This window comes from Homo sapiens, chromosome 12 (assembly GCF_000001405.40).
Source record: "Homo sapiens chromosome 12, GRCh38.p14 Primary Assembly".
In the NCBI taxonomy this organism is placed as follows: Eukaryota; Metazoa; Chordata; class Mammalia; order Primates; family Hominidae; genus Homo; species Homo sapiens.
The window spans coordinates 98,524,113-98,541,307 of NC_000012.12; the positions used below are offsets into that span (position 1 = coordinate 98,524,113).

At 39.0% G+C, this 17,195-nt stretch overlaps 1 protein-coding gene across 6 annotated transcripts in view, besides 1 other annotated feature; it reads left to right on the forward strand.

Annotated features, from left to right (window-relative positions):
• TMPO (thymopoietin) overlaps positions 1 to 17,195 on the forward strand; it is a 34,779-nt gene that overhangs the window by 8,540 nt on the left and 9,044 nt on the right. For 4 of the 6 annotated variants that reach the window (XM_005269132.5, NM_001032283.3, NM_001307975.2 and 1 more), the window contains exons 2-4: positions 3,774 to 3,900; positions 7,568 to 7,726; positions 13,363 to 13,460. In XM_005269132.5, coding sequence (XP_005269189.1) covers positions 3,774 to 3,900; positions 7,568 to 7,726; positions 13,363 to 13,460 — 384 coding nt within the window. Of the gene's footprint in view, positions 1 to 3,773; positions 3,901 to 7,567; positions 7,727 to 8,710; positions 11,523 to 13,362; positions 13,461 to 17,195 lie in introns of those variants that run through there. The other 2 variants (NM_003276.2, XM_017019914.3) reach the window with 1 other exon arrangement.
• Positions 4,190 to 4,356: a silencer, noted in NCBI's record as "fragment chr12:98922080-98922246 (GRCh37/hg19 assembly coordinates)". NCBI's record gives its function as "represses an EF-1alpha promoter that drives an FKBP-Casp9 reporter gene in an ReSE screen in phorbol 12-myristate 13-acetate-treated (for megakaryocytic differentiation) K562 erythroleukemia cells {active_cell/tissue: K562(+PMA)}" and the evidence as "EXISTENCE:reporter gene assay evidence [ECO:0000049][PMID:32094911]".

Sequence of the window (17,195 nt, forward strand, 5' to 3'; positions counted from 1 at the left end):
GTTTAGATGCTTGGAATAAGAATATGAGGATGATAGTGCGTCTGCTTTCTGTTGCTTGCCTCAATGCTGCATCCAGATCACCTGGGCTACACAATTACAAACAGATTATCTGGCCCAAGGTGAAGAATCAGAAATGGGTAAGACCTTTCCAAATAGAGGTAACAAGAGTTAAGATTTTGGGCTGGGTGCTGTGGCTCACGCCTGTAATCCCAGCACTTTGGAAGGCTGAGGTGGGCAAATCACGAGCTCAGGAGTTTGAGACTAGCCTGGCCAAAATGGTGAAACCCTGTCTCTACTGAAAGTACAAAAATTAGCTGGGCGTGGTGGCATGCACCTGTAGTCCCAGATACTCAGGAGGCTGAGGCAGGAGAGTTGCTTGAACCTGGGAGGCAGAAGGTTGCAGCAAGGCAAGATGGCGCTACTGCACTCCAGCCTGGGCGAGAGAGTTAAGAGACTCCACCTTGAAAAAGAAAAAAAAAAAAGAGTTAAGATTTTTTTTGAGACAGAGTCTTGCTCTATCGCCCAGGCTGGAGGGCAGTGGCATGATGTCGACTCACTGCAACCTCCGCCTCCCAGATTCAAGCAATTCTCCTGCCTCAGCTTCCCAGGTAGCTGGGATTACAGGCATGTGCCACCACACCCGGCTAATTTTTGCATTTTTAAAAGAGACGGGGTTTCACCGTGTTGGCCATGCTGGTCTCGAACTCCTGACTTCAAGTGATCCACCCACCTTGGTCTCCCAAAGTGCTGGGATTACAGGCATGAGCCACTGCACCTGGCCCAAAGAGATTTCTTGAAAACCTCTCAGGCGGGTTTGAAAAGTTGGAATTTCCTGGATGTTTTATTGATAGTAAATTTGAACATTCTCGTGGTAGTGGGGATTATGTACAAATAATTTGAACCTGATTGATTGTTTTTCCATGTTTTATTTTTATTTTAAGCATTATTTAGTTTTTCTGTACTACCTGACTGCACTTTTTGGAAAATTTGAGTAAGTCAGTAACATAGGATTAAGTTTGTTTGATTAAATCTTTTCTTGAAAGAAATAAGTCTTAGAACTCTTAGACCCTAGGCAACTATTTGGATATTATGGTGTGGGTTGCTTCCAGATATGAGCCTGACAGTTCTAGGTCAGTGCAATGTATGTGAATTAAAGCCTGCTAAAAGTACTCTCACTGTAACTCTCCACAGCCGTCTATTTAAGATTTCTCGTAAGTTGACATAATTGTTCTTATGAGCAGCTATTTTTTTGGTGAAGGTTTTTTGGCTTCTGATTATAGAATGATTAGCCATTAGCAGCTTTTTAAAAAGAATTTCTCATATCTTGCTTTATTTGAAGTATTTCAGGCCAGGTTCCATGGCTCACGCCCGTAATCCTAGGACTTTGGGAGGCTCAGGCGGGCATAACATTTGGGGTCAGGAGTTCAAGACCAGCCTGGCCAACATGCTGAAACCCCGTCTCTACTAAAAATACAAAAATTAGCCGGGCGTGGTGGTGCACACCTGTAATCCCAGCTACTCAGGAGGCTGAGGCAGGAGAATCACTTGGACCTTGGATGCAGAGGTTGCAGTGAGCCAAGATTGCGCCACTGCACTCCAGCCTGGATAAGAGTGAGGCACAGTCTCAAAAAAAAAAAAAAAAAAGATTTGATTTGAGCCTGACAATTCTAGGTCAGAACATTTTTATTGTTAAAAACAGTAATTCCAGTACATAGTCAAATCATGACTGATTTTTCCCCCTAATATTATTGGAAAGTGAGCATTCCATACAACTTGATAATTTTAGCCTTTTTCGTAAAATTTACTTTGATGTTGCCATTGTTTAATTAGCCATTTTTTTGTTCAGTACTCTGATGTTTTTTCTGTGATCACTGAGGCATTTGTCAGGCTGTTTGCCACAGCCTTAAAAGGTATCCGTACTTTTGCTTCCTTTTTATTTGTTCAACCTTGGAAATTTATAGTTTTTCCAGTAAATACTGCCTTTGTAGAAATTAATTTTAAAACTTTCAAATTTTCCCTCAAAGTTTGTTTCAAGTTATTTTGACTATTTTTAGTAAACTGGTGGTACAGAAGTTAATCTGGTGACTAAACTGTGTCACAGGTGATAATTTAACCATGAAGTCTGTCAGATTTCCTTCCTAAGTCATAAACTAGCTACTAAAATAACTGTGTTACAAGGAGTTTACAGTCCTGTCTCCTATCCTTGGGGTGGAGATTGGTTCCAGGACCCGGCCATGGATATCAAACTCTGGGGATGCTTTAGTAAGTCCCTTAATATAAAGTGGTGTAGTAACCTACACACATCCTCCCTTATACTTCAGATCATCTCTAGATTACTTATAACGCCTAATACAATGTAAGTGCTATGTAAATAGTTGTTATACTGTATTTTTGTTAGTGTTTTTATTGTCGTATTGTCTTTTTTTTCCCCAAGTATTTTTGATCTGTGGTTGGTTGAATTCACATATGTAGAACCCAACTGTATTCATTTGGGAGAATGGAGAGCCAACTGTATTCATTTGGCCTTCTTAAGTTCTCATATGCTGTTTAAAGAAAATCATTTCTGGCCGGGCGCAGTGGCTCATGCCTGTAATCCCAGCACTTTGGGAGGCTGAGGTGGGCAGATAACGAGGTCAAGAGATCGAGACCATTCTGGCCAACATGTTGAAACCCCGTCTCTACTAAAAGTACAAAAATTAGCTGGGCGTGGTGGCGCACACCTGTACTCTCAGCTACTCGGGAGGCTGAGGCAGGAGAATCGCTTGAACCCGGGAGTCGGAGGTTGCAGTGAGCCAAGATTGCACCGCTGCGCTCCAGCCTGGCAACAGAGCGAGACTCCACCTCCAAAAAAAAAAGAAAAAGAAAAGAAAATCATTTCTATATATGTATCTAAGTGTAAGCCTGTATGGTAAAGTCTTAAACTTTCCTGGATTAATTTAAATTTTTAAGGATTATCAAAAAGTTAGTAAGTAGCATTCATGATCATTTAGATGAAAAATGTTAAGCCCAGTCTGGCTTTACTTTCCATGGTTCATGCTGATCTGTTTCCGTTGCCATTGGAGTTATATGCTTTAAGAAATGAAATATAATTTTTGGTTATTTAGGCTGTGTGCAGTGGTTTACAACTGTAATCCTAACACTTTGGGAGGCCAAGGTGGGCTGATCACTTGAGTCCAGGAGTTTGAGACCAGCCTGGGCAACATGGCAAAAACCCCATCTCTACAAAAAAAAAAAAAAACAAAAAAAAAAAACCACAGGCAAAAAGCCAAGGGTGGTGGTGCGCACCTGTAGTCCCAGCTATTTGGGAGACTGAGGTGGGAGGATCGCTTCAGCCTGGGAGGTGGGGGTTGCAGTGAACTGAGATGGAGCCACTGTACTCCAGCCCGGGTGACATAGCTAGACCCTGTATCATTAAAAAAAAAAAAAAAAAGGTTATTTAAAAGAAAATGTTACCCAAAGTCAGTTTTACTTTTAGTTGCTCTTTTGCATTTTTGATGCCATTACTATCTCTTTTAGATAGGTAATCCAAAATGGACTATTTTAACAACAATGTCTTTAAGTTACTTGCTTGGCTGTGCGGTTTGTATGATTACAGTTCAACTTAGAAAGTGTTCTCCAATAATGAGTTGCTCTTAATTTAATGGAATTGCTAAGGCCTAATATTACTATAAACCAATTTGGTAGTGAGTTTGCATGTTTATGTTATACAGGTTATTATCTAGTAAGTGAACACTTTAATTCATATGGAAATGATTACTGGACTTTGTTTACAGAAAGCCACAAAAAAAACTGATAAACCCAGACAAGAAGATAAAGATGATCTAGATGTAACAGAGCTCACTAATGAAGATCTTTTGGATCAGCTTGTGAAATACGGAGTGAATCCTGGTCCTATTGTGGGTAAGTTGATAAAATTTCAAATACAGTATCTTTTCTCTGAAGCAGGACCCCAAATTATTTTCTCCTTTTTGTTTAGCAGTTTAGGTTCCAAGGACTGGTTTGTCATTAATCATTTGTTATCAGCAGAACCTGTGTTTCTTTGACTGTAAATGAGTGAAATAAAATGAGAGGATTGAATTAGATAATCTCCAAAATTACCTCTATTGTTGAGATTGTTTTATATGGTGCTTATATCGTACTTTTTTTTTTTTTTTTTGGTTTTGTTTTGTTTTTTGTTTTTTTGAGACGGAGTCTTGCTCTGTCGCCCAGGCTGTAGTGCAGTGACGCGATCTCGGCTCCCTGCAAGCTCTGCCTCCCGGGTTCATGCCATTCTCCTGCCTCAGCCTCCTGAGTAGCTGGGACTACAGGCGCCCGCTGCCACGCCTGGCTAATTTTTTGTATTTTTCAGTAGAGATGGGATTTCACCGTGTTAGCAAGGATGGTCTCGATCTTCTGACCTTGTGATCCGCCTGCCTCGGCCTCCCAAAGTGCTGGGATTACAGGTGTGAGCCACCGTGCCTGGCCACTTATATCGTACTTCTGCTGAGACGTGGGTCTTGTATGACAATTGAGGAAAATCTGAGGTAACATAGCTGGGCAAATTTGCCCAAATAAATGAGTTAATGGCCGGGCGCAGTAGCTCACACCTGTAATCCCAACACTTTGGGAGGCCAAGATGGGAGGATTGCTTGTGCCCAGGAGTTGAAGAACAGCATGAGCAACATAGGGAGATCCCATCTCTGCAGAAAATTTTAAAATTAGCAGGGTGTGGTGTCACAAATCTATTGTCCCAGCTACTTAGGAGGCTGAGGCAGGAGGATTGCTTGAGATGGTGGGGGGAAGTCAAAGTTGCAGTGAGCCGTGATGGCTACTGTACTTCAGCCAGGGGCAGTGGAGCAAGACCCTGTCTCAAAAAAAATAAATAAATAAGGGAAAAAGAAAAAGTGAGTTAGTGACAGACTTCTTCTTAATGAAGTTATTAAATTCCTAGCCTAGTACCCTATTTTTTTTTTTTTTTTGAGACGGGGTTTCGCTCTTGTTGCCCAGGCTAGAGTACAATGGTGTGATCTTGGCTCACTGCAACCTCTGCCTCCCAGGTTCAAGCAGTTCTCCAGCCTCAGCTTCCCGAATAGCTGGGATTACAGGCACCTGCCACCATGCCCGGCTAATTTTTATATTTTTAGTAGAGATGGGGTTTTGCCATGTTGGCCAGGCTGGTCTGAAACTCCCGACCTCAGGTGATCCCACCCACCTCAGGCTCCCAAAGTGCTGGGATTACAGGTGTGAGCCACCGCGCTGAGCCCCTTTTTCATTTATCATTAAAAGTACCCTTTTGAAAGTCCTATCTTGATTGGAATTGAGGAATTATACCCTTAAAAAACAAAAACCTAGGACTAAATACACTGGATTTCCATCGTTGGATTACTTTTAGGTGATGAAGATTTTGCAGTGTTGATTATGCCTTAGTTTTGGAGGGTCTTAGCAATAACCTCAAGATGAGAAAATTCCATTTTATTATTATTTTTTTTTTTGACAAGGTCTTTGCTCTGTTGTCCACGCTGGAGTGCAGTGGCACAGTCATGGCTTACTGCAGCCTCAGCTTAGGCTCAAGCAGTCCCACCTCAGCCTCTCAAGTAGCTGGGAACACAGGCACGTGCCACCATTCCCGGCTAATTTTTGTAGTTTTTGTAGGGATGGGGGCACACTATATTGCCCAGGGTGGTCTTGAACTCCTGGGCTCAAGCAGTCCTCCCACTTAGGCCTCCCTAAGTCCTAGGATTACAGGCATGAGTCACTGCATCTGGTCTTGATCTTCTAAGTTACCTAAAATTGTGGACGCTAGAGATTTGGTAGGTTTTGCTATAGGTATAGTTGCAAATAAAGATTTAGAATATTTTGTTTTAATGTATAAGCTGCTTCCAAATAATCATAAGCTTATTCATATACAAGTACCAACAGATATATAACACTTTTAAAAAATGTTTTTGTTTAAAGTTCTAAAAGGCCTGGGCATGGTAGTTCATGCCTGTAATCCCAACACTTTGGGAGGCCAAGGTGGTGGAATTGCTTGAGTTCAGGAGTTGAAGAGCAGCCTGGACAACATAGTGAAACCTTGTCTCTATTTAAAAAAAAAAAAGTAGCCAGGCATGTAGTGCACACTTGTAGTCCTAGCTACTCAGGAGGCAAAGGTGGGAGGATTGCTTAAGCCCACAAGTTCAGGGTTGCAGTGAGCTATGATCGCACCACTGCAGTGCAGCCTGGGCAACAGAGCAAGACCTTGTCTCAAAAAAAAAAAAAGAAATTCCAAAAGGGAGACACTGAAAAATGTGTGTTATAATATCAGCCTACATTAAATTATATGTTGATGTATGACCTGTTCATCTTAAGGCTATTTATATAACATTTCTGGACACATGTTGCTTCTAAAAAATATCCATTATCATTTTGCTCATCTTACCAGGAGTTAAGGAAAGATAATACAGTTAATGTAAAACAAAATCTATTTTGGTTTTAAACTGTCACTGATGTTCAAATGTATTAAGAATTTGTAATCAATTTTGCTTTGTGATATGTGTTTTCCATAAAAGGTCATTTTAACTGCAAAGTTGTTATATTTAAATCTGATTTATAGAACTTTTCTTTTCCCCATAACTGAATACAGGCATATTAATGTCTTAGAGTTGTGGAAATTTAATCATAGTTATTTTTCATAGAGGTACAATCCGCTTACATGTGATTTTTCTACCTTGGCAAGTACTATTACGTAGTAGTAGAGAAAATAAATGCAAGACTTCAGTCAAAAATAGTCATACATGGCTTTTCAGTAGATGGTCTATAGAAAGGCCTGTATTAACCTACTATGTATTTCATGCTATTAAAAGAAATGTCATTTCCCAAAAAACCACCTGTTGTAAAAAGAGTGCATTATATAGTTGTGTGGAATGCAATGGTGCGATATCAGCTCACCGCAACCTCCATCTCCTGGGTTCAGTTCTCCTGCCTCAGCTTCCTGAGTGGCTGGGATTACAGGCGCCCACCACCAGGCCCAGCTAATTTTTTGTATTTGTGGTAGAGACTGGGTTTCACCATGTTGGTCAGGCTTGTCTTGAACTGCTGACCTTAGGTGATCCACCCGCCTTGGCCTCTGGAGGTGCTGGGATTACAGGCATCAGCCACCACGTCCTTTTTTTTTTTTTTTTTTTTTTTAAGACAGCATCTTACTTCCTCTCCCAGCTGGACAGTGGTGCGATCTCAGCTCACTGCAACCTCTGCCTTCCAATTTCAAGTGATTCTCCTGTCTCAGCCTCCCAAGTAGCTGGGATCACAGGCGTGTGCCACCATGCCCGGCTAATTTTTGTATTTTTAGTAGAGATAGTTTCCCTGTGTTGGCCAGGCTGGTCTCGAACTCCTGACCTCAAGTAATGTACCCGCCTCAGCCTCCCAAAGTGGTGGGTTTACAGTCGTGAGCCACTATGTCTGGCCGCATTATATGGTATTTTTTTTTTTAAGAACTTGAGTTTAGAAAAATAAAGGGTGAAAATAGCTTAAAATGTTGCTGAAGATAGTGTCTGAGCTGCATCCTAAATGAAACAATACAGGTACTAAAGCAAGTTCTGCCTTAATCCAGGAACAACCAGGAAGCTATATGAGAAAAAGCTTTTGAAACTGAGGGAACAAGGAACAGAATCAAGATCTTCTACTCCTCTGCCAACAATTTCTTCTTCAGCAGAAAATACAAGGCAGAATGGAAGTAATGATTCTGACAGATACAGTGACAATGAAGAAGGTAAAATTTTAAATGATGTTAATCAAATGTATGGAATTTTTTCACACTCAAAATTCAGTGACCATGAAGAAAGTAAAATTTAAAACAATATTGGCAAGATACACAAATTTTATTCGTGTCATTAGAGTAATTCTGTAATTTGATTTAAATACTTTTTATTGAAAATTCTAAGAAGCAACATAGTACAAATTCATAATTTTCCATCACCTGAAATTGCAAGTTAACTTTGTCTTTTTTGCTACAAATCTCATTTTTCTGAGAGAATAAAGTATTACAAGTAAAGGCAAAGTTTCTCGTACTTACCTGTACCTATCACCTCCACAGAAGTAACTACTATTATTAATTCAATGCCTGTCTTTCAAGTTTTATATTTCACATACACATCTGTCTAATACATGGTATTATTTTATACTTTAAGAATAAAAAATTTATATAAACAGTATGCTAAATCTTATCACTTGCTTTTTCTTACTCCATTATTTTTGAAATCTAATCCTGTTAATTACATATCTGTTTATTCTTCATAATTAATACATAGTGGTAGCATTTAAATATGGCATATTTTCTCTGTTCTCTATTGATAGGCATTTAAATTGTTCGCAGTTTTTGTTAATCTGACCTCAGGGCAACTTTAAAGCAAATATTTTGACTATATTTTTAGTAGACTGTATAGTATCTTAAAATTTGATCATGATGTTTAAATATTTTTTAAGGATAGTATGTGAAATAAATGTCCTTTAAAAATTATAAATACAACTTGATTTTTGTAAACTTTTAATTAATATGACTTGTGATTATTTATTTTGATCCAGATTGTTTATATCTCAATAAGCTTTGTCTACCAGGGCAAATCTGGCAGATTAGTTCAGAATATGAAATTATAGTCTTTTCCTTTGACAGCACTATTTTTAGCAAAGAGGCAAAGAATAAAATCAGCTCAAACACAGGTAATGCTTAAACTTCCTGCCTCTTTTGCCTCTACAGGAAAGAAGAAAGAACACAAGAAAGTGAAGTCCACTAGGGATATTGTTCCTTTTTCTGAACTTGGAACTACTCCCTCTGGTGGTGGATTTTTTCAGGGTATTTCTTTTCCTGAAATCTCCACCCGTCCTCCTTTGGGCAGTACCGAACTACAGGCAGCTAAGAAAGTACATACTTCTAAGGGAGACCTACCTAGGGAGCCTCTTGTTGCCACAAACTTGCCTGGCAGGGGACAGTTGCAGAAGTTAGCCTCTGAAAGGAATTTGTTTATTTCATGCAAGTCTAGCCATGATAGGTGTTTAGAGAAAAGTTCTTCGTCATCTTCTCAGCCTGAACACAGTGCCATGTTGGTCTCTACTGCAGCTTCTCCTTCACTGATTAAAGAAACCACCACTGGTTACTATAAAGACATAGTAGAAAATATTTGCGGTAGAGAGAAAAGTGGAATTCAACCATTATGTCCTGAGAGGTCCCATATTTCAGATCAATCGCCTCTCTCCAGTAAAAGGAAAGCACTAGAAGAGTCTGAGAGCTCACAACTAATTTCTCCGCCACTTGCCCAGGCAATCAGAGATTATGTCAATTCTCTGTTGGTCCAGGGTGGGGTAGGTAGTTTGCCTGGAACTTCTAACTCTATGCCCCCACTGGATGTAGAAAACATACAGAAGAGAATTGATCAGTCTAAGTTTCAAGAAACTGAATTCCTGTCTCCTCCAAGAAAAGTCCCTAGACTGAGTGAGAAGTCAGTGGAGGAAAGGGATTCAGGTTCCTTTGTGGCATTTCAGAACATACCTGGATCCGAACTGATGTCTTCTTTTGCCAAAACTGTTGTCTCTCATTCACTCACTACCTTAGGTCTAGAAGTGGCTAAGCAATCACAGCATGATAAAATAGATGCCTCAGAACTATCTTTTCCCTTCCATGAATCTATTTTAAAAGTAATTGAAGAAGAATGGCAGCAAGTTGACAGGCAGCTGCCTTCACTGGCATGCAAATATCCAGTTTCTTCCAGGGAGGCAACACAGATATTATCAGTTCCAAAAGTAGATGATGAAATCCTAGGGTTTATTTCTGAAGCCACTCCACTAGGAGGTATTCAAGCAGCCTCCACTGAGTCTTGCAATCAGCAGTTGGACTTAGCACTCTGTAGAGCATATGAAGCTGCAGCATCAGCATTGCAGATTGCAACTCACACTGCCTTTGTAGCTAAGGCTATGCAGGCAGACATTAGTCAAGCTGCACAGATTCTTAGCTCAGATCCTAGTCGTACCCACCAAGCGCTTGGGATTCTGAGCAAAACATATGATGCAGCCTCATATATTTGTGAAGCTGCATTTGATGAAGTGAAGATGGCTGCCCATACCATGGGAAATGCCACTGTAGGTCGTCGATACCTCTGGCTGAAGGATTGCAAAATTAATTTAGCTTCTAAGAATAAGCTGGCTTCCACTCCCTTTAAAGGTGGAACATTATTTGGAGGAGAAGTATGCAAAGTAATTAAAAAGCGTGGAAATAAACACTAGTAAAATTAAGGACAAAAAGACATCTATCTTATCTTTCAGGTACTTTATGCCAACATTTTCTTTTCTGTTAAGGTTGTTTTAGTTTCCAGATAGGGCTAATTACAAAATGTTAAGCTTCTACCCATCAAATTACAGTATAAAAGTAATTGCCTGTGTAGAACTACTTGTCTTTTCTAAAGATTTGCGTAGATAGGAAGCCTGGTACAAACAATTTAACGCTTTCTAGATCACATATTAGTCTCTAAGTTGTTTTCTGTTTCCTGCTTTACTTATGTTTTTACAATTCTCCAAAACTAAGAAAATTCTAATTAGGATATAAGGAGTATTTACTGTTCAATAGAATAATATGCATCCTCCTTTATACCTAGGACAGAATTAAACATTTGTTACACATTCAGAACAGTGATGTTGTTCTTTTTGATACTTTTATCTCAGTATCTTTTCACGTTCCATAACTTGTCCATATTTTTGCTCATATTTTCTTACTTTTCTTTGTTATTTATTCATGTCTGCAACATCAATCATAGTAGTCTAGATCAATGCAACTCAAAGCACCAGTCTACAAACTGTTACTTATCCACAGGCAAGATAAGCATGCACAAGAATTTAAATCTAGAGATACTTTTTAGGTCAATGACAGGATTTGATTTTTTAGCAAAATTTTATTAATAGCTAAAGCAATGTATTGATTTACACTCTGATGCAAGTAATTTATCTCTTCATTGACTGGTAGCAACCAATTCATGGACCAGTACCATGGACCACACTTTGAGAAACACTTCTTTGGATAATAATAGATATCCTGGGATAGTGCATGTTCACCATCTATTTTGTCAGATAATGGGGCCTTTTAAAAAATAATACTTTGCTTTCATGATATATTGTATTTTGTGGAAAGTTAAGTTTAGCAATATAGACTCTAAAAGCAAATTAAATTTTTTTAAGCCATAAGAAATTATACTATATCCCAGTATCTGTATGTCTGTATAAAGCAGTGTATTATCATGTTTTCATTTCTGTGATTGTAAGTTAAGAGTCTTAACTGCAGAGGTATTGTGGAAAGTAGTAGCCTTAAGCATAATAAAATATGGTCTCTTGGGTACTCCCTCTGGCCATTACCACATTCTTAGATTATATGTGTCCATCTTTGCAGCTTTCTGAGAGTAATTTTATTTGTTGTCTTCTGAAATGTACATGTATACATGTACCTACTGAGTGCTATGTGATTTTTAAAAATGTATTACTGTAGAATGCTTCTGCAAATTCAATAAAGTTGTTAAATTTGAACAGTGTTGTGTGGTCTCCAGAAACATGTTGTTCTGTGTGCTTTATTCTTGGAGTTGCAACAAGTTAAATATTTGTATATGAACACCCCTTTTCCATTTCATCATTGAAACTCACTTTGACATTTCAGTGGTATAATTGAAAATATTCTGATTATGGTATGGTTTTTCTTCTGTTTGAGGACCATGTTTTTATTGACTGTTGGAATCTAAATTTATAAGAGGAATTAATCTGTAACCAGATACCTTATTCGTTTAACCGATTTCTATTCCACTACTAATGGTTTTTTTTACTTTGTGCTTTCTAGTTCTTAGATTCTGAGTTAACAAAGCATAAAATAGATTTTATATTGCTGGGGGTTGTACCAAACATAGATACATTGACAGATCCATTGATAGAAGTGTTGGGAGATGGACTTGAAATCTTAGTCCTAAATAAAGACTGAACTGTTTAAACTAACTTGATAAAAATCACTGTTCGTTTTTGGGAACCTGCAAGTATTAAATAGATTCTGTACTAACTAGTATTAACACTGGAAAGTTAGCAAGACACATATAGATGTCTTGACCACTTTTTCACACAAGTTCAGAGTTCATGTAAAACTTTAGAATTGACTTCCTTTCTGTCTCTTCAGTAAGAAAGTAATCTAACTTAAATTTTTGGTAGTAGAAGTTTTAGAAATAACAACTGACTAATTTTGCTATACCATGATAAATGTCTACAAAAAGGGATTTTTTTTTTTTTGAAATGAAGTTTCGCTCTTGTCCCCAAAGCTGGAGTGCAATGGTGTGATCTCAGCTCGCTGCAACCTCCGCCTCCCAGGTTCAAGCAATTCTCCTGCCTTAGCCTCCTGAGTAGCTGGGATTACAGGTGTCTGCCACCAACCCTGGCTAATGTTTGTATTTTTAGTAGAGACGGGGTTTCACCATGTTGGCCAGGATGGTCTTAAGCTGACCTCAGGTGATCCGCCCACCTCGGCCTTCCAAAGTGCTGGGATTACAAGCGTGAGCCACCATGCCCTGCCAGGGATGTTAACTAAAATCAGTCTTTTCAAAACCTAGATCTTCAAATGATGATGAATTTAAGACTAGGAGACTGGAATATTGAAGCCTATTAAAAAATACATATCCTTGCGTTGTTAGGTTAATAACTATCATGGTGACAAGTGTATAAGTATTGGCTTCTTTTCAAAGAAATGTTATTTTTATTATAAGGACTGGGACGAGAAGTGACCTGTGATTGGTCGTATTTTTCTGTGAACAAGATTCCTTCTTTACCTGAGTTGTACCTAGGTTTTTTATAACTACATCAAAAAAGCTTTTATATTGTACTTATTAATGTTATGGCAGTTACTTATAGAAGCTTGGTACTATATGGATTTTTTTCATTTTTAAACTTTCCCTTCTATGTTCCAAATTTTAATTTAGTAAGTCAACCTTTGCTGTACAGTAGTAGTATACTGTATGGACAAAACAATGGTAACAATTGTGTTATTTTAAATGGCCTTTTTCCACATCTAAATTGTTCTTACTGAAAAGCTTTCGTGGGAGCATTTTGAACTCACTTCATGTTCAAAGCTATGAGTCCCAGATAAAGGAAAGGAGAATAGGTAGGAAGAAGTGGTTGTCAGATGAAAGGGTAAGGGAGATAAGCAAAAATGGGATAAATAATGAAACAGTTTTCAAGACAAATTGCAGTTAAACAATTTTGGACTAGTGAGGTATTACCAGTAGACTTGTTTTTCACCTTTTAATGTGCCTAAAACCAGGGTTCCCGATTAATATTAGGATAACATCATCATTTATTGAGTGTTTCAGAGAGTAATGGTTTCTCCAATGTTATTTCCAGACTCTAAAATAGAGCTCAAGCTTGAGAAGAGAGAACCACTAAAGGGCAGAGCAAAGACTCCAGTAACACTCAAGCAAAGAAGAGTTGAGCACAATCAGGTATCTTTAGTTTTATTACCACCGTGTACAGGTATAAATAACCTCCTGACAACACTAATCCATGTTTTAGCCTTTAATGGTTGACACCCAGATTCCAGCACGCTCAATAAACTTAATTCTGTTGTTAAATGATACTAAAAATCTAAACTTTGTGGGTTTTGTCAGTAGTGTAGCCTGTGATTACAGCAAAAGCAAATTTTTAATGTCTCATTTGTGTTTGAGTCTGTGCTAGATGTAGTTCAAAGCCAGTTATATGGTGTTTTGAAAGAAATATTTTAAAAGGTGGAAATATCTAGACACTTTTGATACAATTTCTTTAAAAGGCAATGGAAGGGTTTTATATTTGTGTCTTTGTCTCTAGATTTCTGACTTTGATTTTATGTTTGCCTGTCTTGTCTTCTGCGATTCTTTCCTAAACTCAGAAGCTAGTCTGGTCCTAAGACTACAGTTTTCTTTCCTTATTTCAGATGAAAATTTACCTTTTCTATTGTGGGAGAGGCGTTTCAGTTTTTCAAAAGGGAAATGTAGGAAACTAAGGAGAAAATAAGCATAGGTATAAATGAACAGAGAACAAATTATTGACTAACCTAGTATTGTTTACAGAGAACAAATTATTGACTAACCTAGTATTGTTTACAGAGAACAAATTATTGACTAATGCAGCATTGATTTGGCTGATGCTTTATAAGACAGCTATTCCTAGAGTCATTTTCCTTACCCCTGCTATGTCTAGCTGGATGATTTGTCTAGTTGGTTATCTTTTCCATCTCCTATTTGTCACTTTGTGTGTTTGTTTGTGACGGAGTTTTGCTCTTGTCACCCGGGCTGGAGTGCAGTGGCGTGATCCCATCTCATTGCAACCTCCACCCTGCTGGGCTCAAGCGATTCTCCTGCCTCAGCCTCCCAAGTAGCTGGGATTACAGGCACATGCCACCACGCTCAGCTAATTTTTGTATTTTTAGTAGAGACGGGGTTTCACCGTGTTGGCCAGGCTGGTCTCAAACTCCTGACCTCAGGTGATCCACCTGCATTGGCCTCCGAAAGTGCTGGGATTACAGGTGTGAGCCACCGCGCCCAGCCTGTTTGTCGTTTTAAAATCAAATCCTTAGAGGAATTATTCTTGATTCCTTAAGGCAAGTCAGTCTCTCTCTTCATTTGATGTAGTTGATAAGTTGAATTTCAGAACGATTTGTTAGAAATGAGCTTTGTGACAAGAACATACAGAGCATTGAATGAATGAAGACTTTGTTAACATAGAACCAAATACTGGAATACATGTTTTATTGCCCTTTTATGTAGTAGTCCTAACAAATAGCTTCAGGAGCATGCTGAAGAATAAGGAAATAGGCCGGGCGCGGTGGCTCACGCCTGTAATCCCAGCACTTTGGGAGGCCGAGGCGGGCGGATCACCTGAGGTCCGGAGTTCGAGACGAGCCTGACCAACATGGAGAAACCCTGTCTCTACTAAAAATACAAAATTAGCCAGGCATGGTGGTGCATGCCTGTAATCCTAGCTACTCCGGAGGCTGAGGCAGGAGAATCGCTTGAACCTTGGAGGCGGAGGTTGCTGTGAGCCGAGATCGCGCCATTGCACTCTAGCCTGGGCAACAAGAGCGAAACTCTGTCTCAAAAATAAATAAATAAATAAATAAATAATAAAGATGGTCTAAGGGATAATTGAGTTGGAGGAATCTAAACTGAGGAGCAGAATAAATAGTCAAAGGAGTGTAGGTTTAGATGACAGGCAGAATTAGACAGTGGCTTTATTGCAGAAAATTTAAAACATGTAGAAGAGTGGAGGGAAGAGTTTAATGACCCTCCAGTCATAGATGTGCCACAGTTGTCAGTGTTTTACCAGTTTGGTTTCATCACCCCACACCCTCCAGCTTTTTAAATTACTTTTTTTTTTTTTTTTTTTGAGACAGAATCTCACTCTGTCGCCCAGGTTGGAGTGCAGTGGCACAATCTCGGCTCACTTGCAACCTCCGCCTCCTGGGTTCAAGCAGTTCTCCTGCTTCAGCCTCCTGAGTAGCTGGGATTACAGGTTCCCGCCACCATGCCCAGCTAGTTTTTGAATTCTTAGTAGAGACCAGGTTTCACCATGTTGGCCAAGCTGGTCTCGAACTCCTGACCTCAGGTGATCCACCCGCCTTGGCCTCCCAGATTGCTGGGATTACAGGCATGAGCTACCGCACCTGGCAATAAATTGCTTTTGATTTTTTTTATTTTGCTTTTTCCTGGAGTATATTAAAGCAGTCTTTGACATAGTGTTTCACACATTAAAAAGTCAGCATTTTAGCATATATCTCTGAAAGATAAGTGCTATTCCAGTGACAATGCCAATATCACACCTAATAAAATTAATAATTTATTTGTATCTAATTCATGTTTAAATTTCTCTAGTTTCAGAAATGTTTCGTTTATGATTATGTTGTTCAAATCAGGATCCAGACAGGATCCACATATCCGGTTTGATTTTTGGTTGTTTTACTCTCTCAAGTCTGTAGCTGTTACCACTGTAACTTTTTCTCTTCCCTCCATTTATTTGGTGAAGAAACCAGGTCATTACAGAATTTCCCAACATTCTGGATTTGTTAGGTTGCTTCTTTATGTCATTTAATTAGCTTCTCTATACGCTGCATTTTCTGTAGAGTGGGTTAGATCTGTAGTGAGGCTATGCAGTAGACCTTTCTGTGATAGAAATTTTTCATACCTGTGCTATCCGTTACAGTAGCCACTAGCTATTGAATACTTCGATGGTGACTAGTGAGGCTGAGAAACTCTGTTTTGCTTTGTTGTTGTTGTTGTTTTTGTTTTTGTTTGTTTGTTTTTTGAGATGGAGTTTCATTCTTTTTGCCAAGGTTGGTGTGATCTCAGCTCCCCACAACCTCTGCCTCCCAAGTTCAAGCGATTCTCCTGCCTCAGCCTCCTGAGTAGCTGGGATTACAGGCATGTGCCACCACGCCCGGCTAATTTTGTATTTTTAGTAGAGACGGGGTTTCTCCGTGTTGGTCAGGCAGGTCTCGAACTCCCGACCTCAGGTGATCCACCCGCCTCAGCCTCCCAAAATGCTGGGATTACAGGCGTGAGCCACTGCGCCTGGCGGAAACTATGTTTTAATTTTAATTTAAATTAAATTTCAATGACCATATGTGGCTAGTGGCCTACCATATTGGACGGCACAGATCCAGAGGGTTGGTCAGATCCATGTCCAGTTTCTTTCACAAGAATACTTAAATGATATAGCGGCCTTCCTGTTACATCGTTTTAGGAGGTATAGAATGTCTTTCTGGCGATGCTAAAATTAGTAATTGATTTAGATTTTGAAAGATTAATCCATCTGTTATAAAGATCCACATTGTCCTTTCATTTAATGGTTCTAACAGCCATTGTCATATGATTATTGCCTAGGTCTATTATTTTGAGGTTTTTTTTATGTATTGAATTTATGATCAGTTACAGTCATCATTCTTTTTTGATGTTCACATTGTGCCATCTGTAGCCATTAGGAATTACTAAGTTGGTTCCTGTATTTTTTAATTCCTTCCCCCATTTATCTTTGATAGTTTCTTGTTTTCTGGAATAGTAAGACGTCCCAGGCTCATGTATACTTCCTGCGTCATGCCTGGAATCAGCCATGTTTCTAAGGAACCGTGATCCTTTTAATAGATAATACTATTTGGAAGCAACAATTTGGATGCTGACATGTTCATTCCTACTGGTTGTCATTGTTTC